The 26,368-nt window shown below is 40.6% G+C and overlaps 1 protein-coding gene across 2 annotated transcripts in view; it reads left to right on the top strand.

Moving 5' to 3' along the window:
* The window catches only part of POTEC (POTE ankyrin domain family member C), a 36,262-nt gene extending 18,511 nt beyond the window's left edge, over positions 1–17,751 (top strand). The window contains exons 7-11 of one of the 2 annotated variants that reach the window (NM_001137671.2): positions 107–177; positions 1,583–1,627; positions 2,670–2,836; positions 11,305–11,428; positions 13,097–17,751. In NM_001137671.2, coding sequence (NP_001131143.1) covers positions 107–177; positions 1,583–1,627; positions 2,670–2,836; positions 11,305–11,428; positions 13,097–13,192 — 503 coding nt within the window. In that variant the 3' untranslated portion in view covers positions 13,193–17,751. The remainder of the gene's footprint in view (positions 1–106; positions 178–1,582; positions 1,628–2,669; positions 2,837–11,304; positions 11,429–13,096) is intronic. The other variant, NR_134878.1, reaches the window with a different exon arrangement.
* Positions 17,752–26,368: the final 8,617 nt, after the last annotated feature.

Below are 26,368 nucleotides of genomic sequence, written 5' to 3'. Positions count from 1 at the left end.
TTATGAAATAAAATAAAATGCTGTCTTCAATCTGTTTTTATAAAGGCAATAGTTTTTAACTGTTCTAAGTGGTTCATCTTAACTGAATATATGGATTTCTCAACAGAACAAGACTTAAAGCTAACATCAGAGGAAGAGTCACAAAGGCTTAAAGTCAGTGAAAATAGCCAGCCAGAGGCATGGAAAATTTTAAATTTAAATTTTTGATTTAATGTTGTTTTCTTTGCTTTAACGATATTAGATAGTCCAAATGAAATTACCTTTCAGACTAGGTTTTAAGAATCAATAGATTCTTTTTTTAAGAATTTTTTAATAAGATTCTTAAAATTTATTTTAATAAATTCAGCAATCTCATTAACAGAAGAATCAATAAATTCTAATTTAACATTTGATATTTAGCTTAAAAACATAACCACTATAAAATTTAAAATACTCTTATTTTACAGTATTCTTATTTAAAATATTCTTATCTGCCTTTTTGATTAGCTTATAGCTAATCTTTCCTTTTGGAATAGAGGCAAAAACATATTCCAGACCTTTGTTTGTTCTTTTATTTTTACAACACCCTAACATGATAAAGTAACATCAATTATTGGATTATATTATTAAGCAATAGAACTATGAACAATGTAACACTGAAGGTCCCTGAGCTGGATTCATGGTTGAAGAATAATCACGGCCAGTGATTGAAAATCTGCAGTTTTATATTGTCAGTCACTGATACCAAGGTTAAAGACATATTCTGCCTTGTGGTCTCTCACTGACTTCAGCATTTCTGCTCAGGGAGGAAACCAGGTCATAAAAGCAACCCAACTGCCTATTACAAGAATCATATCTTGCAGAATGGGACATTTGGTGTTAGTGCACAAACACAATAACCTTCTACCTTATTTTAGTTGCAGAAAATCAGTACAGATTATTAAAAAAATTTTATCCACTATAATTAGTACACCTTAGAATATATTAGAACTGGACTTAAGCAGATCATCTAGATACATAACACTATCATATTACAGCATATAATTTCAATTAAAATTTAAGAATTTGCATTTCTTTCTGTTTGGTGTTGATTTCAGCTCCTAATAATTTAAAGCGTGCCTACAATCCAATTAGGAATCTTTTAAAAAAGCACTTCAGTGCACTACAAGGGCTCACTAGTTAGGGTTTCATGAGATACGCTCTTTTCAAGTGAGGAAGCCTTTGGAACACTACAAATCATCTGCTAATTCATTTTTGGTAGATTTAACACATAACAAATTAAGTTTAGTCCAAACAAATGGTAACAAAGTTAAGTTTGCTGGTTGATGTTTTTATTCTCCCTTTGTCTGAGGTGAATTATTTTTCACATGTTAGTCAGAAGCCAATGATGTGGCAGTAGCTAAACATAGATTAAAAAGTTAATTCTTAATTTTAATTATTTATTTATTTAATTATTTTAACAGTTAAATTTTATTTTATTTTCTAATTTTTCATGTCCATACTTGATTACTTAAGAATAAAATTATTTTAACATGCATTCCAAAAGAGGAGACATACATGGAAATACAACAAGCAAATTAACCTTCTATTTTTGCATCTGCAGAAAATGTCTCAAGAACCAGAAATAAATAAGGACTGTGATAGAGAGGTATACCTTTATGTTCAAATGTTTCTGTTGAATTAGATTTTTATGTTATGCTGTTTAACAAAGTGTAGTAAGTGTAGGCATACATGATCCTATCATGTAAGTAGCATAAATCACCAGTGAAAAATTTAATATTTGACTCAGAAAGAGTTCTGTACATTGAGTTTTCAAGAGATACAAACCCTAGAGAGATTCTTTCATTATTATGGAACAATCCTGAATGGTGCCATAAAATGCTAGGTAATGCCACTTTAGGAGCTTTGGACCAATCATTTTATCTTTCTTGGTTTTAGTCTGATTATCACTAGATAATGTGGCTAAAGAAGATAATTACTTATTCTTTGTAACTTCCAGCTGGAAAATTGTATAGCTATTGAATGTGAAATTTGGGGAGCATCTAATTTTCTGGAATTCCACGCTTGCACTTCAGCAGTTTCACTCTGCTCCTTGTGTTGTGGCAAACTTTGGTTTTCATGTTTCAGTGAGCACCATCATGTTTTTGATATCCAGGAACCAAACGAAAAAAGAACGATCAAAGGCAGTGGGGGAGGAGAATATCTTAGTGCAGAAAAGGGCCATCTTCCTTTCTATTCCTGAAGTCCCCCAGTGTCTCATCCTCTACATCTGAGTGTTTAATGTAAAATCTAGGTGGTAAAGACAGAAGACACATTTTGTGTCTATGTCGTTTTATTTTTGTGTTCCCACGAGTCAAATGGGGTAAATTCATATATAAGATTCTGAAGAGTTTTTGGGAATAAAAGCACAAAATGAAGGAGGGCCCTTTTTGAATTTTGGAAAATTCTGTTTTATTCAGTCAAACAGCAATCAAGAAGACTTTACAAAAATTTCAATGATATACTAATGACATGATAATTACATCTTAAAATTATACGGTAATAGTTCTGTATATATGATCAAATTTAAGTGTGAGATATTTTTAATGACTAAAATAATGGCAAACTGAGTCAATTGATAAAATCAATTAAAAAGGTTATTTTTATTCAATAAAGTGATAACCATCCTTAATATCAAACTTCCACTCAAGGTTGAAGAAGAAATAAAGAAGCATGGAAGTAATCCTGTGGGATTACCAGAAAACCTGACTAATGGTGCCAGTGCTGGCAATGGTGATGATGGATTAATTCCACAAAGGAGGAGCAGAAAACCTGAAAATCAGCAATTTCCTGACACTGAGAATGAAGAGTATCACAGGTAAGCCTATGGCAACATTTAATAGGAGATAACTATATGCTGTCAAACTAATCCTAATTTGGGCTAATATTCATGATGAACAAATTTTATACTTTTACTAGAATATTCAGCCTTGCCTGTTAATCAGAAAAATGAAAATCAGTAAACAATGAGTTACTGTTTTTTCCAGTCATTAATTTATTTGAAAAATAACCAGCATTGGCAAATGTGAGGGAAAAGGCATTTTCTTTTCTTTTTAATGAACTTTTATTTTAGCTTCAGAAGTTCATGTGCAGGTTTATTATATAGGTAAACTGTATCATGGAGGTATGGACTACAGATTATTTCATCAGCCACATAATAAGCAAAATACTCGAGAGGTAGTTTTTTGGTCGTCTCCCTCCTGCCACACTCCACCCTCAAGTAGACCCTGGTGTCTGTTATTCTCCTCTTTGTGTCCATGAGTTCTCATTGTTTAGTTTCCACTAATGAGTAAGAAGAATATGTGGCATTTGATTTTCTGTTCCTGCATTAGTTTGCTTAGGATAATGGCCTCCAGCTCCATGTGTGTTGCTGCAAAGGAAATGGTCTCATTGAAAAAGACATTTCATACACTGTTGGTAAATACATTTTGAACATTAATTTAGTAGCATATTCACACACATATATATAACATAGTAAGGATATGTAGGTATGTTAAGGATATTTGTATAGATTTGTCACATATATACTTATGTGTAAGGACATTCCTTACAGCATTATTATATAAAAAGATGGATCCTTATCAATAGGAATTTATCATTATCAAAAGTAAATCCTTACCAATAGGAAATAGCTCAATTTTCATACCCAGAAAATAATGCAGTATGCAACCATTTTTTACAAATGAGGTTAGATCTAGAGTATACTGATTATTTCACAATTAAAATGTATTTAAAGCATTTAGTTTGGTAACACATCTTAAGATAATTTTGTTAGAATTCTTGTAATATCTGCTGTGTTGCAAATGGAAGCTACACGCTACATGGACACTGTACCTTGTTAGCAACAAGATTGCTAGTTATTAAATTTTTGTTGTCAGTGCCTGAGTGCCGAAATATTGGACCTTCAATCTGAATATTGCCAAGGGATTGTACATGGGGATCTATATTTAATATAAACATTTGAGTATATTGGGTGAAACTTTTATTAAAATATATCAAAGTATCTTTCATCTGCTAAACCAGGAGCTGGCCAGCTTTTTCTGCAAAGAGCCATTTAGTAAATATTTTAGGCTTTGTGGACTATATATATTTATTTTTTTTGAGACAGGGTCTCTGTTGCCCAGGCTGGAGTGCAATTGTGTGATCACAGCTCACTGCAGCCTTGACTTTCTGGGCTCTAGTAATCCTGCCACCTCAGCCTTTCTACTGGCTAGGACCCCAAGTGTGCAACATCACACCCAGCTAATTGACTCTATGGACTGTAAAGTGAATAAGCATGGCTGTGTTCCAAGATTCTTTACTTACAAAAACAGGCAGTGGGCTGGATTTGGCCCACAGGTGCTAATTTGCTGACCCGTGTGCTAAAAGGAAGGTGCTGCTAATGCAGTAACACTTATTTGTAAAAGTGCCCTGCATGTGTGACATTATCTTTCCTTTGAGAAAAGGATATATTTCAGTATTCACCTCACCATATTTTTCCACAGTGATGTCATATAATTTTTAAAATTTCATTTGTAAAATAAGATTATTTTCTGCATTTCTGCCACTTTATTCCTGTTAATAGAACTCAGTATTTTACAGTGATCAATTACTTTGTATATTTGATGAGTATCAACTGTCCTAGAATTGGCTGATTTTTATCAAGCAAGAAGTACTCTCATTGAAGCTTTTAGTTTTTCTTGGTCTTTATGTATAAGCATGAACAAAATAATAATCAGCTTCTGTAATCTAGAAATGGTCAAGGCAACTTTTAGTTCTATAGTTTTAAGAATTTAACACCTTGGTCTGGCATTTTTAATGCCAAATGTGTATAATTTTTATAAGCTTTAAAATATGTAATTGTTATATAAAATTTGAAAACTACACCTGTTATGTAAAATTTGAAACTATTTGTCTATTACTTTTCCATGACTGTGGAAGAAAATTACAACATTCTCAGCCATGACTCCTAAGTATGATGTCCTTAAAAGAACTGTCTACACTCACGAACTCAAATTTTTTTTTCATTCACTCTTGATCTCATGCCAGTAAGTCTTCAATTTCAGCAGTCCTCCAACGTTTTTCCTCAAGATTATCACTAATTTTTTTCTGTAATAAATCTAGGCACTTTTCTTCCACCTCATTTTATTTAATCTGTCAGCAATATTTGAGGCAATGGAGGACATCTCCTCCCTAACGGCGTCTTCACTTGGCTTTCAGGACCTCACTGCCTCAGGCTTTTCCTCCTACCTTTCTAGTCCATTCATCATGTTCTGTTTTGCTTGCTCCTCCTCATCTTTCTCCTTTTGGACATTGTTGTTTCCCAGGGCTCACTCCTCAATCTTCTTTCTTGTGACTTTTTCTTTTTCTTTTTTGGAGACAGAGTTTCGCTCTGTCACCCAGGCTGGAGTTCAGTGGTGTGATCTCGGCTCACTACAACCTCTGCCTCCTGGATTCAAGCAATTCTCCTGCTTCAGCCTCCTGAGTAGCTGGCATTACAGGTGCATGCCACCATGCTCAGCTGATTTTTGTATTTTTAGTAGACACAGCATTCCCCCATGTTGGCCAGCCTGGTTTCAAACTCCTGACCTCAGGTGATCTGTCTGCCTTGGCCTCACAAAGTGTTGGGATTACAGGTGTGAGCCACTGCACCCGGCCCCTCATGACTTTTTCTACTGTGTATATGCTAGTGATTTCCAAATGTATGTCTCCAGCTCAGATCTCTCTCCTTAATTCCAGATTTCTATATCAGCCTGCCTACTTGACATCTCTATTTGGTTAGTTATTGGGTATCACACACTTGTCAGATCCAAAATTGGGCTACTGATGTCCTTCCTGAAAGCTAAACCTCATGTAGTCTTTCCTACTTTGGTTAAGGGCAACTCTTCCAGTTGCTCTGCCAAAAATCTTGGTGTCATTCTTGACTCATCTCTCTCTCTCTCTCTGACACCTCACATCTAATCTCTCAGTAAATCTTGTCAGGTCTACCTGAAGAATATGTCCAGAAGCCAGTCATATCTCATACATCTGAGCCACCCTCATCTGCAGTCTAGATGAGTGTCATAGACTGGGAATTGATAGTCCTGGTTTTTAAAAACTTCCCTTTTCATCAATTCTTAACTCAGTGGATGTATTTAAAACATAAGTCAAATTGTTTCATTCCTCTGCCCCAGCCCTTCTGATTATCTCCCATTTCACTCGGAGTACATGTCAAAGTTCCTCCTAATTATCTCCCTTGCTCTGCTTCAGCCACACTGAATTCTTGCCATCCCTTATCTACCCCTAGTGCTTAAAGATGCCAGGCACACCTCTGTGATTCGCAGTTCCCTGTGTCTGGAATGCTTTTTCCCCAGATATCCTCCTAGCTTTCTCTTTCCATTCCTTCAGTTCTTTATTTAAAACCCCCTTTCTAAGAAGAAGAGGAAAAAGGGTAAAAAGAAACACATTAAGGAACAACCACTTTCTGAGGAAGAACGGTGTGCTACCCAGACGCGTCATGCTTAAGGTTCAATTGGGTGCCTACCAGGGATGCTCTCTAACGTAACGAAGGGAAGGTTCAGTGAAACAAAGTGATTTATCATCTCTAACTTCAAACCCATTTGTATCTTGACATCAACGCTGTTAACCTTATGTCATCATTTCTTAGAGACTTTTATATACAAATAAAAGGTTTTTTGTATTAGAAAAAAAAAATCCCCTTTCTCAGCAGGGACTTCTCTGACCATCCCAACTTTCCCACCACCCTCCCCATCAAACACATAAACATTTCATTTTCCTGCTTTAGTTTTTCTCCTGTAACATCCTGTATATTTTGCCTTATCTGTCTGTTGTTATTGTGTGTTTTTCTCACTCTCATGAATAGGGTTTTTATTTTTCACTACAATATCCTCACTGCCTAGAAAAAGGCCTAGCATATTGGATGAAGCTACCTAATAAATACTTATTAAATGAGTGAATGGAGTTTATCCTGGATATATTGTTTGATTAATTCTCACTTTAAAAATGTTTGACATGGTTCATTCTAACAGTTTTGCCCGGTAATTATGTGCATTTTTAAAATTGTTTTGGCTTTTTATAATAAGCTACATTCTTTATATTAATTTTTTTATTTAGAGAGAAAAGCCCAATATTGTGGTTATTCACTATTTATTCTTTTACTAGTAATCATAATTGTAATTATGGCAAACTGAGTCAGAGGAATTGCAAAGTTTACTGGTATTTTATTTTATTTTGAGATTGAGTCTCGCTGTATCCCCCAGGCTGGAGTTCAGTGGTATGATCTCAGTTCACTGCAACCTCCACCTTCTGGTTCATGCATTTCTCCTCCCTCAGCCTCCCAAGGAGCTGGGATTACGGGGGCATGCCACCATGCCCGGCTAATATTTGTATTTTTAATAAAGATGGGGTTTCACCCCGTTGGTCAGGCTGGTCTCGAACTCTGTACCTCAGGTGATCCACCCACTTCGGCCTTTCAAAGTGCTGGGATTACAGGCATGAGCCACTGCGCCTGGCCACTAGTATTTTATTTTAAAAAAAAAAAAAATTAGGGTGGCACATTTAATGGACTTGAAAATTCTTTTCAAGGGATTATGAACCTTTGGTATTTGAAATAAAGAGACAGAGTTGGAATTTTTGCTTCCTATAGTAAGAGGAATACTGGTCAGGCACTGTCTATTCTGATGGAGCAGGTACTGCTGCGTGGCTGTATTTCAGAAGCAAGCTGCTCACATTGATATTGGTTGGTGAGCAAGAGCAGTGGTCATTGATTGACTAGATTTCAAACTGGCTTTGGGTGGCTTCTTGTTACCATTGGTACAAGTCATTTCTTTCATAAGTTAGAGTCAACTTTAACTGAAAATTTTCTGTATAAAAGTTGCCTTCAATTAACTATGTTCAAAATGAAACTATTTTATATTCCAGAATTGTAGACTTCATTTTAAAATTTTGGTCAAGGTGAATTGGTTAATAACAGCTCTCAGGAATATCTGTTTTCTTTTTAAAAAAATACATATTTCTCTGTATAATTTATTCCTTAAAATTAATTATTTTCTTTCTGTTTTTGGTATTTTTAGAAGCTTTTGCTCAAGTCCTAACATAATCTCCAGTAGGAGATTTTAGTCTCTTTGTCAGTTCATGTATGTATATGGTAGTGATACTCTACTCTCTTTTTAAATTCCTTTTCTTGTTCACTTTCTTCTCAGTACAATAACGGTGATATTCTTATACAACTTTACCTCATTTAAAAGTAATTACAGTTTGCTGCTGGCAAATTCAGCTTTTTATATTTTGACTAAATACTAGGCTAAAAGTGAAGAAAATTTACCAGGTCATTTTATTTTCAAACAAAATCATTACTAATAAAAATTGCTATCTTTGAAATATAAATAATGACATTTTGATATTTTAAAAGTAAGGATACACCCCCCCCCAGTAGTTTGGCTTTGTGTTTCCACCCAAATCTCATGTCAAATTGTAATTCCCAGGTGTTGAGAGAAAGACCAGCTGGGAGGTATTGGATCATGGGGTCGGTTTCCTCCATGCTGTTCTCGTGATAGTGAGTTCTCACAAGAGCAGATAATTCTATAATGGGCTCTTTCCCTTTCACTTCTCTCTCTCCTGCCACCTTTTGAAGAAGTTGCCTGCTTCCCCTTTACCTTCTGCCATGATTGTAAGTTTCCTGAGGCCTTCCCAGCCATGTGTAACTGTGAATCAATTAAGCCTCTTTCCTTTATGAATTACCCAGTCTCAGGTATAGGTATATATATATATATATATATATATATATATATATATAAAATTTTCTTTATTCCACTCATCAGTTGATGGACACTGGCTGATAACATATCTTTGCATATGTGAATTGTGCTGCAGTAAACATATGTATATAGGTGTCTTTTTGAGAGTATGATTTCTTTTGTTTTGGGTAGGTATCCAGAAATGAGAATGCTGGATAGAATGGTAAGATCTACTTTAACAGAACTCTCCATAATGTTTTCCATAGATTTGTACTAATTTGTATCCCCACCAGCAGTGTATAACTCTTCTTTTTTCACCACATCCACACCAACATCTGCTGTTTTTTTTATTTTAGTAGTGACCATTCTGGCTGAAGTGAGGTGATATCTCACTGTTGTTTTATTGTACCCTGATGATTAGTAATATTTAGCATGTTTTTATATTCTTGTTCACCATTTGTACATCTTCTTTTGAGCAATGTCTATTCATGTCATGTGCCCACTTTTTAATGGAATTATTTGTATTTTTCCTGCTGATTTGTTTGAGTTTCTGGTAGGTTATGGACATTAATCCTTTGTTAGATTCATAATTTGCCCATATTTTCCCCATTGTATAGGTTGTTGGCTCACTTTGATGATTATTTCTTTTGCTGTGCTGAAGCTTTTTAGTTTAATTAGGTATTTATTTATTTATTTATTTATTTGTTTATTTATTTTTATTTTTGTTGCTTTTGCTTTCAGGGTCCTCATCATAAATTATTTGCCTAGGCTAATGTCTTCAGGTCTTAGGTTTAGGCCATTAATCCATCTTGAATTAATTTTTTTACATGGTGAGAGGTAGAGATCCAATTTTATTCTTCTATATGTGACTATCTTTTTTTCCCAGCACCATTTGTTGAATAACGTGTACTTTCTCCAGTGTATGTTTTTGTATCCTTTCTCAGAGATCATTTGGTTGTAAGTGGCCTTTTTTCTGAGTTGTCTATTCTGTTCCATTGATCTGTGTATCTACTTTTATACCAGTACCATGATGTTTGTTACTGTGGCCTTAGAGTATAATTTGAAGTCAGGTAATGTGATGCCAACATGTTTGTTCCTTTTGCTTGGTATGTCTGTTGCTATTCAGGCTCTTTTGTGGTTCTACATGAATGGCAGCTTTTTAAAATAACTCTGTGAAGAATGACATTGGTACTTTGGTAGAAACTGTATTGACTCTGTAGACTACTTTGGGCACTATGGCATTTTCACAATATCAATGCTTTCAGTCCAGGAACATAGAATGTATGTTCATTTATTTGTATCATCTGTGATTTTCTTCAGTGGTGTTTTCCAGTTATCCTTTGATAGATGACTCACCTCCTTCATTAAGTATATTCCTAGGTATTTTGCTGTTTTGCAGCCATTGTAAAAAGGATTGGATTCTTGATATGACTCTCAGCTTGGTTGTAGTTGGTGTATAGTGGTACTATTCATTGGTATTTGTATATTTTGTAACCTCTGAGACTTTACTAAATTCATTTATCAAATCTAGGAGTGTTTTGTAGGAGTCTGTAGAGTTTTCTAGGCATAAGATCATATCATTGCTGAAGAGAGAGTTTGACTTTCTCTTTTCCAATTTGGATGCCCTTTATTTCTCTTGCCCAATTGCTCTGCCTTAGGGCTTCCCAGTTTTCTTCTTAATATGCATGAAATAAAAGTAAAATTGAAAGCGATTGTTGATCAGTTTATTTCACATCTCTCTCTCATACACAGATAAAATGAATTCAAAGTTCTATGTTAAAAACACAATATTAGACCCTGTCTTGTTCCAAAGGGAATTTCTAAGTTGTCTATAAATTACAGAGGAATCAAGAATATAAGTGGAAACTGTTTCCAAAAAATAAACATAAAAAGTTTGGGTTGACACAGGGGTTTCCAATCCCCAGGCCACAGACCAGTACCAGTCCCTGGCCTGTTAGGACCTGGGCCACACAGCAAGAGGTTAGTGGTAGGGAGCAAGTGAAGCTTCATCTGTTTACAGCCACTCTCTGTCACTCACATTACCTTCTGAGCTCCTCCTCCTGTCAGATCAGCGGTGACATTAGATTGTCATAGGAGTGTGACTTGAACCCTATTGCAAGCTGCTCATGCATGGGATATAGGTTGTTCACTCCTTATGAGAATCTAATGCTTTATGATCTGTCACCATCTCCTGTCACCCCTAGATGAGACCATCTAGTTGCAGGAAAACAAGCTGAGGGCTCCCACTGATTCTACATGATGGCGAGTTATATAATTATTTCATTATATATTAGTAATAATAGAAATGAAGTGCACAATGTATGTAATGTGCTTGAATCATCCTGGAACCATCCCCCACCTCAGGTCCATGGAAAAATTATCTTCCACAAAACTAGTCCCTGGTGCCAACATGACTGGGAGAGCAGGGTTAACAGATGTGAGACCCCTTTGTCTTGTCTTGGATTAATGTGCAGATATGCATTGTGTGAATGACATCTGATGGTGCCATCTTGCCCTGTAGATCATTTTAGGGACACCTCCAGTATTTCATGAAAATTAAAATTTCTTCTAGTGACGAACAAAATGATACCCGGAAACAACTTTCTGAAGAACAGAACACTGGAATATCACAAGATGAGATTCTGACTAATAAACAAAAGCAGATAGAAGTGGCTGAAAAGAAAATGAATTCTGAGGTATTTTCTTTAGTCATTTTCAAATGTTTTCATATGTGTATATATTTTTAAAAAGCTTTATTTTGGAAGGTATAAAGGATTTTTAAATCACATATATACACACGTGTGTGTGTGTGTGTGTGTGTATATATGTAAACACACACCCTGTATATCCTTGGTCATATATCTATATATGTACATATAGGATAAAGCCATGTTCTTAATTCAACTGCATTTGCCTGCAACAGTCGAGTAGTGACCTTCACAATGGCCTCAATCCAAAGGAAAAGCATTTGATATTTTTCATAAGAATTGATTATCTTTCCAATATCAAAAATAAGTTTTGCTACTAACAACAGATTTGCTAGTTTTGGGACATTCGTTCTTTTTAAAATATTAATAGAGAAGTCAGTTTGTTATTTTCACTAATAGGAAAGTAGGAAATGTACAGCTGGGTCAGAGGCCACATTGTGGATGTCATTATCCTTGCTTTTGAGGAGAGGAACAGTTTGCTCCGAGTAGTTTCTCATTTCAATGCAAAGAGCTTTGAAAACAATGACATGCCATGATACACATTTAGTGATAATTTATTGATAAGTATTTTGTTCCCAGATGAATAGTTGAGTATGTTTCCCCTATTTCACACTTACTACTATAATGTTTCAAACATTATAAAGAGGAAAGAAAAGTTATTGCAATGGCAAATAATCTCATGATTTCTAAGAAAAGCCTTGTAAGTTATATCTTATTTACCATTTGTATTTTGAAATAAAAGGCTTCTTTTGTATTTATATATTTACACTACAGAAGCAACTGTGATTTTGTGGAGGATCACTAGCAGTAGCATCAGAAGACCTGGCAAAAATCCTGCACGTTGCATATATACGTGTGTGTGTGTGTGTGTGTGTATTCTAGATGGAGTCTTGCACTGTCACCCACGCTGGAGTGCAGTGGCACAAACTCAGTTCACTGCAACCTCTGCCTCCCAGGTACACACGATTCTCCTGCCTCAGCCTCCTGAAGTGCTGGGATTACAGGTGTGAGCCACTGGTCCTGGCTGCATATATTTTTTGACCTCTCCTTTTAAGAATCGTGATCCTAAATGAGTTGAGTGTTGTAGGTAGAAGTGCAATGCTTAGACGCAGATGTGTACATTGTAGAAGGGTACAATGCTTAGATTTAACAGTTATGAATAAATGTAATGCTTACAACTGACTGTAAAAATATTAGGACAGCAGTATATTGATAAAACATTCCTCAGAAAAAGGAACTTAAAGAACTTTGAGGAATTGCTTCTGTCCTAATATACGCATAGCTAAGGCTCTTATGATGGTGTGGTTTATAGGTTAGATATCAGAGTGTAAACCCAATTTAAAAAATGTAGCCAAATGTATTAATCTTCTATTTTATGCCTCTGGGTTTTTTGTAATTCAGAGAAAGGCTTTTCCAATTCTGAAATTCTTAAAAATCCTCTAGTGATTTATTTTTCATGGTCTTTAGATAAATATTTCAACTTTTTGGAATTTACACTCTTTTAGATTTGAAGTTTTGTCCAACTTTTTTCCAGTTAAATATCCACTATGGGAATTATTTCATTATACAAATATAAATGTCATTCTTTAATTTTAGAAGAAATCATGATATGTCATTCTATTGAGTGCTAACTAAAAGTTCCCTTTGTTTACTTAGCTTTCTCTTAGTCATAAGAAAGAAGAAGATCTCTTGCGTGAAAACAGCATGTTGCAGGAAGAAATTGCCATGCTAATTTCTGGAGACTGGAACTAGATGAAACAAAACATCAGAACCAGCTAAGGGAAAATAAAATTTTGGAGGAAATTGAAAGTGTGAAAGAAAAGACTGATAAACTTCTAAGGGCTATGCAATTGAATGAAGAAGCATTAACGAAAACCAATATTTAAGTACAGTGGACAGCTTAGGATTTTGACAACTGAGAATGCTCAGTTCTGAACTGGAGAATGTAAGACACAGCTAGGAAACACTGGAAATGGAAATTCAATCATGTCATTGTAGACTGACTACTGCTCTACATGATTGTGATCAAAGTCAGATAGCTGAAAGGGACTTCTTTCCAGAGAACAAACATGAACAGGTTTATTTACAGGAGAAAATGAATTCTCATATATCTCACCTAAAAGATAACAGTGAGATTCTTTCTGAACAACTCTAACGCTGACAGTAAAATTAACAACCTAAAAATTAAGCTCCATCACACAGGATAAATTCTGAGAGAAAAGATGAGGCAGGCCACCATCTTTCCTGTTTGGGCAACTTAGCGATTCCAGCGTGCGGGCTTTGGAGAGTACAAACCCACCAGGGGCAGAAGAGATCCTGTGGCATAGCACAGCTGCTTTACCAAATCATGTCCAGAATGCTTCTGTAAGCAGGCCTCTGATCCTGTTCCTCGTCACTGGACAGGATCTCCCACCTGAGGCCTCCAGCTACACCCACCAGTGTTCCCTGGCCAATGGAGATTTGAAACCTTCCTGGGACAGAGTTCCCAGAGAGAGGGGTGGGCCATGACCTTTGTTGTTTGGGCAACTAGCCCTTCTGGCCTGTGGGCTTTGGAGAGCCCAAGCTGACCAGGGGTGGAAGTGGTACCTCAGCACAGAACAGCCACCCTGCGAAAACGTGGCCAGATTCTTGTTTAAGCCAGTCCCCAACCACATTTCTAATCACTGGGTGGAGCCTTTCAACCAGGGTCTCCAGCCACCTTCACTGCTGTTCTCTGGCTCACAGAGGTTTCAGGCCTCCTGAGTCAGAGCTCCCAGGGGGAGGACCAGACTGTCATCTTTGCTGTTTGGATGACTCAGCCAGTTCAGTCTTAGAGTTTCAGAGTGTCTGAGGAGACCAGGGGCTGAAGTGAACCCCCCACACAGCATAGCCACTCTACAAAAACGTGGCCAGACTTCTTTTTTAAACAAGTCCCTATTCCTGTTCCTCCTTACTAGGCAAGACTTCTCAACTTGCTTCCAGTCACATCCTACAGGTGTGTTGAGATTGGCAACAGGTTCATACCTCAGAGGTACAGAGCTCCCAGAGGGAAGGGCAGGCTATCGTCTTTGCTTTTTCTCAGGCTTCACTGCTGATACCTTCAGCCACTGGAAAATACGAGGCAATTGGCGACTGGAGTGGACCCCCAGCATACCACGGCAGCCCCACAGAAAAGTGGCCAGACTGTTATGTGGGTGCCCATTTCCATATCTCCTCGATGGGCAGGTCTTCCTGGCCTGGGTCTCCAGCCAGCCCCCCACTTGAGCTTTCAAGCCAGTAGCAACTCAGCAACTCCCTGGACAGAGCTTCCAGGAGCAACAGAAATCCTCTCTGCCACTGCCTCTGCAGTGGAACTGCCCTTGCTACCCTCAGAATATCAAGGGAGCAAAGACCCTAAGTGCCATATTGACACCTCCAACAAGCTGCAGTTGACACAAGGAACAAGTCAGTCCATCTTCCACAGGTACAACACACCCCTTACTGCTCATCACCAGACAAGGAACCGTGGCTTGGGCCCACAACACAGACCCTCCATCCTGGGGTGATTACATTAAGTAACTGCTAACTTACACCTCTCTGGGGTGGAGCCCCCAGGAGACAAGGAAAGTAGTGGAGCAGCAAGTCAGCTGATGTGGAGCCTGGAGGGCAGGGACAGCTATGTCTCTAGGCTCCACTTGCTCTTATGAGACACTTTATCCCAGCACTTTAGGAGTGCTGAGGTCAGACCAGCCCCATCTCACGTGCAAGATTGCCCAGCACAGATCAGGTCTAAGAGTTCTCTTCGTAAAAAAGGGGACTTGCTTAAAAAAGAAGTCTGGCCACGTTTGTGTAGAGCAGTTGTGCTGTGCTGAGGATTCACTTTTGAGAGAGTTCTCCTCTGAGACCTGATCTGTGCTGGGCAGTCTTGCACATGAGATGGGGCTGGTCTGACCTCAGCACCCCTTAGTCTGCTTGCCTCTCCCAGGACCCCAGCCAGGCCACACCTGCTTAGAGGGCACTTTCGGGTGCCCACACCATAGCTTCTGTACAAGCGGACCGTGCCTGATCAGTGGAGAGCTGCAGCAAGGTGACCTCTACAGCCACGCACTAGCCTGCACATTACCATTCCATACTGCAGCCCTTTATATGGAAACTTCCTACATCACTTTGCTGTGTGTGTTTACACAGGTGGGTTTTGTTGTACTTGCCCTAACAGCATATGGGAATGCAGCACACACCCCAACCCACACCAACTGCCACTGAAGATGAAGCCATGGTGGGCACAGAACCAAAAACCCCACCCCTGCTAGCATCTCACCCTTGAGGTAATGCTGTGCAGAGGAAAAGGGACCTTCTTATACCCTGAGTGACCACTGTTGCTTGGGGGGGATCAGAGAAGGCACCTTCACTGGCCAGCCACCCACCCCAAACCAGCACTACCTCCAGTGCAACAGCACACACAGTCAGCAGGGGCCCGTGGCCCACACCCCAGCTGTTTTGCCTCCACCACTGGGTGAATGCCCACAGGGAGGCAGGGACTTTTGCATCTGCTAGCATTCTGCCACAGCTGCTGCACTTTGGTCCCCTCAGTGCAGTGGACTCCAAACCTCGAGGAGCCAGAGGACAAAGTTGTGGCCCAATACAAGTTCCCCAGAGTTAAAGCACACAGTCCAAGAATTGGGAGCTGCATGTTGGCCCCTTAAAATCCTCCAAAAACAAAACCTGTTGGCTGAATCCACCTTACACCACAATCAAATCCTCAAGGTCATCAGATATAATAAAGGAAAAATACCCTGTCCAAAGGTCAGCAACCTCAAAGATTGAAGATGGATAAGCCCATAAAGATGAGAAAAAGACTCTGTGCAAGAACACTGAAAACTCAAAAATTCAGCATACCTTCTTTTCTCCAAATGACTGCATCAACTCTCCAGCAAGTGTTCAGAACTGGGCTGAGGCTGAGATGTCTGAAATGATACAAGCAGAGTTCAGGATATGGGTAGGAACAAAGTTCATTGAGTGAAAGAAGTATGTTGTAATCCAATACAAGGAAGCTAAAAATCATTGTAAAACATTGCAGGAACTAACAGACAAAATAGTGAGTATAAAGAAGAAAATAACTGACCTGACAGAGCTGTAAATCACACTAGAAGAATTTTCATAATGTAGTCACATGGTGATTGTGTGTGATTGCATTATGAATATTATTGTAGTATGTGTGGGCACCTGAGAGTGCCCTGTAAGCAGGTGTGGCCAGGCTGGGGTCCTGGGAGAGGCAAGCAGACTAGGGAGGGCTGAGGTCAGACCAGCTCCATCTCATGTGCAAGACCATCTAACAGAATAGACCAAGAAGAGGAAAGAATCCCAGAGCTTGAAAACTGGCTTTCTGAAATAAAACAGGCAAACAAGAATGGGGGAAAAAAGAATGAAAGGGAATGAACAAAACATCCGAGAAATATGGGATTATATAAACGACCAAATCTATGACTGATTAATGTACCTGAAAGAGATGAGGAGAATGGAACCAACTTGGAAAACACATTTCAGAATATCATTCATGAGAATGTCCCCAACCTAGCCAGACAGGCCAACATTCAACTTCAGGAAATCCAGAGAACCTCAGTAAGATATGCCATGAGAAGATCATCCCCAAGACACATAATCATCAGATTCTCTGAGGTCAAAATAAAAGAAAAAATGTTAAAGGCAGCTAGGGAGAAAGGCAACATCACCTGCAAAGGGAATTCCATCAGACTTAGCAGACCTCTCAACTGAAACTGTACAAGCCAGAAAAGACATTCAACATTTCAAAGAAAAGAAATTTCAACCCAGAATTTCATGTCCAGCAAAATTAAGCATCATAAGTGAAGGAGAAACAAGATCGTTTTCAGACAAGCAAATGCTGAGGGAATTCGTTATCACCAGACCTACCTTACAAGAGCTCCTGAAGGAAGCACTAAATATGGAAAGAAAAGACCACCACCAGCCACTACAAAAACACACTGAAGTACACAGACAAGTGATGCTAAAAACCAACCACATACATAAGTCTGCAAAAGAGCCAGCTGACAGCATGATGACAGGATCAAATCCACACATACCATTACTAACCTTAAATGGAAATGGGCTAAATGCTCCAATTGAAAGACACAGGGGGCAAGCTGGATAAAGAACCAAGACCCATTGGAGTATGCCGTCTTCAAGAAACCCATCTCACATGCAGTGCCATACATAGGCTCAAAATAAAGGAATGGAGAAAAATATTTCAAGGAAATGGAAAACAGAAAAAAGCAGGTGTTGCACTCCTAGTTTCTGACAAAACAGACTATACCAATAAAGATTTAAAAAAAAAAAAAGACAGAGGGCTGGGCGCGGTGGTTCACGCCTGTAATCCCAGCACTTTCGGAGGCTGAGATGGATGGATCACAAGGTCAGGAGATCAAGACCATCCTGGCTAACACGGTGAAACCCCGTCTCTACAAAAAATACAAAAAATTAGCTGGGCATGGTGGCGGGTGCCTGTAGTCCCAGCTACTTGGGAGGCTGAGGCAGGAGAATGGTGTGAACCTGGGAGGTGGAGCTTGCAGTGAGCCAAGGTCGTGCCACTGCACTGCAGCCCGGGAGAGACAGTGAGACTCCGTCTCAAAAAAAAAAAAAAAAAAAAAAAAAACACAGAGAAGGAGATTACAAAGGTGGTCCTGACCTTTGATAAATCTCATTATTGCTTGATACCAACCTGGGCTATCTTTATTGCCCAAACCAATAGGATAATGTGCTGAGGTTAGGGAGCTTCTCCCCTGCAGAGAATCCCTGATCTCCCAAAATTTGGTTGATATCTAAGATTGATTGCCATACAACTCCTTTTCTGAAGTTTTACTTATTTCCAACAAGGCAAGTTTTCCTGCTTCCATGATGATGGAGAGCAGGCACCTCCTTTCTTGAGTTTCAGCTTGCTTCTGACAGGGAAGGTGAGTGTAAGTTTTTTCCAGCTTCTAAGATGGCAGAGAACAATCACTAGCCTGAGACTTATTTCCAGGTAAGTAGCTGAATTAGAGTTTTGTCTTAAAATTTTTCCTTAATGACTAAAATTTAAGATTACTCACCAGCTGCTTTTAATTTCTCCTTACCATTAGAACATTCAGTAATCATATGAATTGTGCATTTGTTTGTTTTGCTTAACTCTTTTTGTTTGTTTATGTTTGGGGTTTTGTTGATGTTGTTTCACTTTTCTCCCATCTCTTCCTGACTTGGTCAGATCCAAAGAATGCTCCAAATTGTGGGGAACAAGGCTTCTGAATTGGCTAAAACTCATGTGGCTGCAAAAAAAAAAAAAAAAAATCCAGTTAGCAGAAATGATTTTTTTTAACTTTTTTATTTTTATTTTTTACATAAGTGGTTGCATCTTTTGCTAGCCAAGGCCAAACTGAAGGAGTAGTGGTGGCGACCCAAAGTTAAGATTCTGCCCTGTTCACTACAGAAACCTGAGTTTGGTTCCTAAGTCTAGTTCTTTCTGTTTGATATTTGTGTTACTTTTAAAATATCAGCAGTTTGTCCCAGCTATGATGTGGTAGTAGAAGATTCAGAAGTATTTTCTTTACAAGTTCTATGATGAAAAGATTAATTAAAAGCAAATTTCTTTTTTTTAAATTATACTTTAAGTTCTGGGGTACATGTGCAGAACGTGCAGGTTTGTTACATACGTATACACATGCTGTGGTGGCTTGCTGCATGCACCAACCCATGATCTAATGCCATCCCTTTTCTAGCCCCCAACCCTGACAGGCCCTTGTGTGTGATGTTTCCCTTCCTGTGTCCATGTGTTCTCATTGTTCAGCTCCCACTTATGAGTGAGATCATGTGGTGTTTGGTTTTCTGTTTTTGTGTTAGTTTGCTGAGAATGACAGTTTCCAGCTTCATCCATGTCCCTGCAAAGGATATGAACTCATCCTTTTTTATGACTGCATAGTATTCCATGGTGTATATATGCCACATTTTCTTTATCCAGTCTATCATTGGTGGGTATTTGGGTTGGTTCCAAGTCTTTGCTGTTGTGAACACTGCTGCAATAAGCATACGTGTGCATGTGTCTTTATATTGGAATGATTTATATTTTTTTGAGTATATACACTGTAATGGGATTGCTGAGTCAAATGGTATTTCTAGTTGTAGATCCTTGAGGAATCATCACACTGTCTTCCACGATGGTTGAACTGATTTATACTCCCACCAACAGTGTAAAAGCATTCCTATTTCTCCACATCCTCTCCAGCATCTGTTGTTTCCTGATTTTTTAATGATGGCCATTCCAAGTGGCGTAAGATTGTATCTCATTATGGTTTTGAATTCCATTTCTCTAATGACCAGTGCTTTGCTTCACATGTTCGTTGGCTGCATAAATGTCTCCTTTGGGAAGTGTCTGTTTGTATCCTTTGCCCACTTTTTGATGGGGTTGTTTGTTTTTTTCTTGTAAATTTGTTTAAGTTTTTATAGATTCTGCATATTAGCCCTTTGTCAGATGGATAGATTGCAACAATTTTCTCCCATTCTGAGGGTTGCCTGTTCACTCTGATGATAGTTTCTTTTGCTTTGCAGACACTCTTTAGTTTAATTAGATCCCATTTGTCAATTTTGGCTTTTGTTGCCATCGCTTTTGGTGTTCTAGTGATGAAGTCTTCGCCCATGCCTATGTCCTGAATGGTATTGCCTAACACAAGGACATTTCTGTGCCTGAATGCCATATCTCCTAAAGTAATTTATAGAATCAGTGCTATCTCCATCAAGCTACCGTTGACTTTCTTCCCACAATTAGAAACACTACTTTAAATTTCATATGGAGCCAAAAAAGAGCTCGAGTAGCCAAGACAATCCTAAGCAAAAAGAACAAAGCTGGAGGCATCACAGTACCTGACTTCAAACTATTCTACAAGGCTACAGTAACCAAAACAGCATGGTACTGGTACCAAACCAGATATATAGACAAATTGAACAGAACAGAGGCCTCAGAAATGACACCACACATCTAAAACCAGCTGATCTTTGACAAACCTGACAAAAACAAGCAATGGGGAAAGGATTCCTTATTCAATAAATGGTGTTAGGAAAACTGGCTAGCCATATGCAGAAAACTGAAACTGGGCCACTTCCTTACACTTTATACAAAAATTAACTTAAGATGGATTGAAGAGTTAAACTTAAGACCTAAAACCATAAAAAACCTAGAAGAAAACCTAGGCCACCAAACTCAGGAGAAATGTACTTGTAGTGAAATGCATGGTACAAACACACATTCCCTGCTTCCTTAAGTGGGTGAGGTTGGTGGCTGGTCCACCTGCTCCAGGTGGATCCTTGCAGAGGTGGCTGGTTGCTCTTTGAGCCAGCTTGGCCTTGCCTGGCATGCACAAGCCTCAGTGCAACAACTGTGTTACAAATGGAGCCACACAGAAAATGACCAGCAGGCTCAGGAGCAGGGTGTACATTGCCTTTGGGGCTCCAGTCCATGCCTCAGGGCTCATATGGCACTTTGGGCTTCTTGGTTGCCAAGAGGCAGATCACAGGCCATCTTGTGGAGGACTTTATGTTCAAGTGCAGAAAGCAGCCAGGATTACAACCTAGGGGACTCAGGCTTCTGTGACCCGGGCCAGGCTTAGAATTTGGTCCCAGGCATGACACGCTCACTCAGAGCAGTGTGTCAGTACCTGGGGCCTGTGCATGCCAGGCAAAGCCAAGCTGGCTCAAAGAGCAACCAGACGCCTCTGCAAGGGTGTGCCTAGAGCAGTTGGACCAGCCACCAATCTCACCCCCTCAACGAAGCCGGGATGGCCAGGTTCCCACAGCCTGAGTGGCTGCCACCTGATGGCTGATGGAGCAGAGGACTGAGGAAAAGCAGATGGCACTGGGGCCCTACCTTTAGGGTAGAAGAACTGAGGTACCATGTCCGGCAGCGAGTGATGTTCGTGGCTGGTCCACCTCCTCCTGGCACACCCTTGCAGAGGTTGCTGGTTGCTCTTTGAGCCAGCTTGGCCTTGCCCAGCATGCACAAGTCTCAGTGCAACAACTGTTCTACAAATGGAACCACACAGAGGACATTAGAGGCAGGCTCAGGAGTAGGGTGTACACTGCCGTTGGTGCTCCAGTCCATGGCTCGGGGCTCGTATGTCACTGCGGGCTTCTTGGTTGCCAAGAGGCAGACCACAGGCTGTCTTGAGGAGGACTTTATGTTCGAGTACAGAAAGCAGCAGGATTACCACCCAGGGGACTTGGCATTCTGTGGCCCTGACCAGACTTAGAATTTGGGCCAAGGCAGGACAAACTCACTCACAGCAGCATGTCAGTAGGTGGAGACTATGCATGCCAGGCAAGGCCAAGCTGACTCAAATAGGAACCAGTCACCTCTGCAAGGGTGCACCTGGGACATGTGGAGCAGCCACCAACCTCAGCTACTCAAGGAAGTAGGGATGGCCAAGTTCCCACGGCCTGAGTGGCTGCCTCCTGATGGCTGATGGAGCAAAGGCCTGAGGAAAAGCGGATGGCACTGGGGCCCTACCTCTAGGGTAGAAGAACTGATGTGCTCTGACCTGCAACAAGTGAGTTTGGTGGCTGCTCCACTGGCTCCTGGCACACGCTTGCAGAGTTGGCTGGTTGCTCTTTGAGCCAGCTTGGCCTTGCCTGGCATACACAAGCCTCAGTGCAACATCTGTGCTAGGTATGGAGTCACAGAGAGGAAATGAGCAGCAGGCTCAGGATCAGGGTGTGCGCTGCCTTTGAGGCTCCAGTCCATGCCTCAGGGCTCGTGTGGCACTGCAGGCTTCTTCGTTGCAAAGAGGCAGACCACAGGCCATCCTGAGGAGGACTTGATGTTCAAGTGCAGAAAGCAGGCAGGATTACCACCCAGGGGACTCTGCCCTGGACAGAGAGAAAATTTGGGCCAAAGCAGAACAAGCTCACTCAGAGCAGCATGTCAGTAGCTGGGGCCTGTGTATGCCAGGCAAGGCCAAGGTGGCTCAAAGAGCAACCAGCCACCTCTGCAAAGGTGCACCTGGAGCAGGTGGAGCAGCCACCAACCTCACCCACTCAAGGAAGTAGGGATGGCCAGGTTCCCACAGCCTGCATGGCTGCGTCCTGATGACTGATGGAGCAGAGGCCTGAGGAAAAGCAGATGGCACTGGGGCTCTACCTCTTGGGTACAAGAAGTGATGTACACCGACCGGCTGTGAGTGAGGTTGGTGGCTGGTCCACCTGCTCCTGGCACACCCTTGCAGAAGTGGCTGGTTGCTCTTTGAGCCAGCTTGGCCTTACCCAGCATGCACAAGCCTCAGTACAACAACTGTGCTACAAATGGAGCCACACAGAGAAAACAGAGCAGCAGGCTCAGGAGCAGGGTGTGTGCTGCGTTTGGGGCTCCAGTCAATGCCTCGGGGCTAATATGGCTCTGTGGGCTTCTTGGTTGCAAAGAGGCAGACCACAGGCCATCTTGAGGAGGACTTTATGTTCAAGTGCAGAAAGCAGCCAGGATTACCACCCAGGGGATTCTGCCTTCTGTGGCCCTGACTGGACTTAGAATTTGGCCTAATGCACGACAAGCTCACTCAGAGCAGCGTGTCAGTAGCTGGAGCCTGTGCATGCCAGGCAAGGCCAAGCTGTCTCAAAGAGCAACCAGCCACCTCCGCAAGGGTGTGCCTGGAGCAGATGTAGCAGCCATCAAACTGACCCACACAAGGAAGCACAGATGGCCAGGTTCCAACAGTCTGACTGGCTGCCACCTGGAGACTGATGGAGCAGAGGCCTGAGGAAAAGCAGATGGCACTGGGGCCCAACCTCTATGGGAGAAGAACTGATGTGCCCCAACCGGCAGCGAGTGAGTTTAGTGTCTGCTCCACTGGCTCCTGGCACACCCTTGCGGAGGTGGCTGGTTCCTCTTTGAGCCAGCTTGGCTTCGCTCGGCATGCACAAGCCTCAGTGCAACAACTGTGCTACAAATGGAGCCACAGAGAGGAAATGAGCAGCAGGATCAGGAGCACGGTGTGCACTGCCTTTGGGGCTCCAGTCCATGCCTCAGGGCTCATATGGCACTGCGGGCTTCTTCATTGCCAAGAGGCAGACCACAGGTCATCTTGAGGAGGACTTTGTGTTCAAATGCAGAAAGCAGCCAGCATTACCACCCAGGGGACTCTGCCTTCTGTGGACCTGACCAGACTTAGAATTTGGGCCAAGGCAGGACAAGCTCACTCAGAGGAGCGTGTCAGTAGCTGGGGCCTCTGCTTGCCAGGCAAGGCCAAGCTGGCTCAAAGAGCAACCAGCCACCTTTGGAGGGGTGCACCGGGAGCAGGTGGAGCAGCCACCAACCTCGGCTACTCAAGGAAGCAAGGATAGGCAGGTTCCCACAGCCTGTGTGGCTGCCTCCTGATGGCTGATGGAGCAGAGGCCTCAGGAAAAGCAGATGGCACTGGGGCCCTACCTCTAGGGTAGAAGAACTGATGTGCCGTGTCTGGCAGGTAGCGAGTGAGGTTGGTGGCTGGTCTACCTGCTCCTGTCACACCCTTGCAGAAGTGGCTGGTTGCTCTTTGAGCCAGCTTGTCCTTGCCCAGCATGCACAAGCCTCAGTACAACAGCTGTGCAAATGGAGCCACACAGTGGAAATTAGCAGCAGGCTCAGGAGCAGGGTGTTCACTGCCTTTGGGGCTCTATTCCATGCCTCTGAGCTTATATGGCACTGCAGGCTTCTTGGTTGCCAAGAGGCAGACCACAGGCCATCTTGAGGAGGACTTTATGTTCAAGTGCAGAAAAAAGTCAGGATTACCACCCAGGGGACTCGCCTTTCTGTGGCCCTGGCCAGACTTAGAATTTGGCCCCAGGCAGGACAAGCTCACTCAGAGCAGCGTGTCAGTAGCTGGGGCCTGTGCATGCCAGGCAAGGCCAAGCTGGCTCAAAGAGCAAGCAGCCACCTCTGCAAGCATGCTCCTGATGCAGCTGGACCAGCCTTTAACTTCAGCCACTCAGAGAAGCATGGATGGCCATGTTCCAACAGCCTGAATGGCTGCCACCTGATGGCTGATGGAGCAGAGTCCTGAGGAAAAGCAGATGGCACTGCTTTGTAATGCCCTTCTTTGTCTCTTTTGATCTTTTCCATTTAAAGTTTGTTTTATCAGAGACTAGGATTGCAACCCCTGCTTTTTTTTTTTTTTTTTTTTTTGCTTTTCATTTGCTTGGTAAATATTCCTCCGTCCCTTTATTTTGAGCCTGTGTGTGTCTTTGCATGTGAGATGGGTCTCCTGAATACAGCACACCAATGGGTCTTGAGTCTTTTTCCAACGTGCCAGTCTGTGTCTTTTTACTGGGGCATTTAGCCCAGTTACATTTAAGGTTAATATTGTTACATGTGAAATTTATCCTGTCATGATGTTGTTAGCTGTTTATTTTTCCCATTAGTTAATGCAGTTTCTTTATAGTGTCGATGGTCATTACAATTTGGTATGTTTTTGCAGTGGCTCATACTGTTTGTCCCTTTCCATGTTTAGTGCTTCCTTCAGGAGCTCTTGTAAGGCAAGAATGTGGATTTATTTCTTGTAAGGCAAATATGTGGATTTATATCTGGGTGCTGTATTCTATGGCCTCTACCCGAAGAGTCATTACTTTTAAAAATGCAATTCAAATTAGCATAAAACATTTACAGCCTAGGGAAAGGCTTATGGCATTAGAATCCTTATTTATAGGATTATTTTGTGTTTTTTTGAGATATGGTCTCTGTCTGTCATCCAGGCAGAAGTGGAGTGGCTTGGTCATAATTCACTGCAGCCCTGAACTCTGAGTCCAAGCCATCCTTGTGCCTTAGTCTCCCAACTAGTTGGATCTACAAGCATAAGTCACCATGCCTGGCTAATTTAAAAAAAAAATTTTTTTTGTCGAGATTATGTTATCACTATGTTGCTCTGGCTGGTTTCAAATTCCTGGCCTCAAGTAATCTTTCTGCCACAGCCTCCTATAGTGCTGGGATTACAGGCATGAGCCACCATGCCTAGCATAGAGTATTACATTATTTTCAAAGTCTTATTCTAAGAGCCATTTATTGACTTTGGCCTAAATAACTCAATATTATATCTCTGAAACTTTTTTTGACAAATTTTGGGGCATGATGATGAGAGAAAAGGGTTTGAAACTTTCTAATAAGAGTTAACGTAGAGCCATTTAAGGAGGAACAGACACAAATTATCAGAAAAATAAAAGAAAGATCAAGTGCAAAAGTTCTGTGGCGAAGATGATGATAGTAAAGAATATATGTGACTTATGGTGGCTTTTACTTTGTTCTTGAATTTCTGAGTAATTTAAGGGTTAACATTTAAAGAATCTACATTATAGATAACATTTTATTGCAAGTAAATGTATTTCAAAATTTGTTATTGGTTTTGTATGAGATTATTCTCAGCCTACTTCATTTTCAAGCTATATTATTTTATTAATGTAGTTTGATGATCTTACAGCAGAGCTGGAAGCTGTATCTTCAAAATATGTCTGTTTGACTCAAAACAATCAAGGTATTCAACAGGAGTTATTATGTATGAAAAAATACAACAGGAATGTAAAAAACTTGAGGCTAAAAAGATGTTGGAAGAAGTAATATTAAATCTTAAAAAACGTATGGAAAGTACACATTGGTGAAGACACATTGGTGAAGTACAAAAATATAAATTGGATCTAGAAGAAAGGGCAATGCAGGCAATGGAAAAATTAGTACAAATCCCTTTACAGGTTAGTTTGCAAAATCAGGTAAGTTTATTTATAATGTGCTTTCATTTATTTCACTGCAAATTATATTTTGGAGATTGTATATATATATATATATATATATATATATCATGTTTCCTCTGCCTCTCTTATAGTAATTTGCCTTGTGGAGTTCTGGCAAAGAGGTGGCATCTGTTTTTACTTTTATATGTTTAAATTTCCATCATTATAACAAAATCGATTTTTCACAGTAAT

Source organism: Homo sapiens, chromosome 18 (genome assembly GCF_000001405.40).
Source record: "Homo sapiens chromosome 18, GRCh38.p14 Primary Assembly".
NCBI classification, from domain to species: Eukaryota; Metazoa; Chordata; class Mammalia; order Primates; family Hominidae; genus Homo; species Homo sapiens.
Note: the sequence above shows the minus strand (reverse complement) of the source record. Positions and strands in the feature narration are given on the sequence as shown.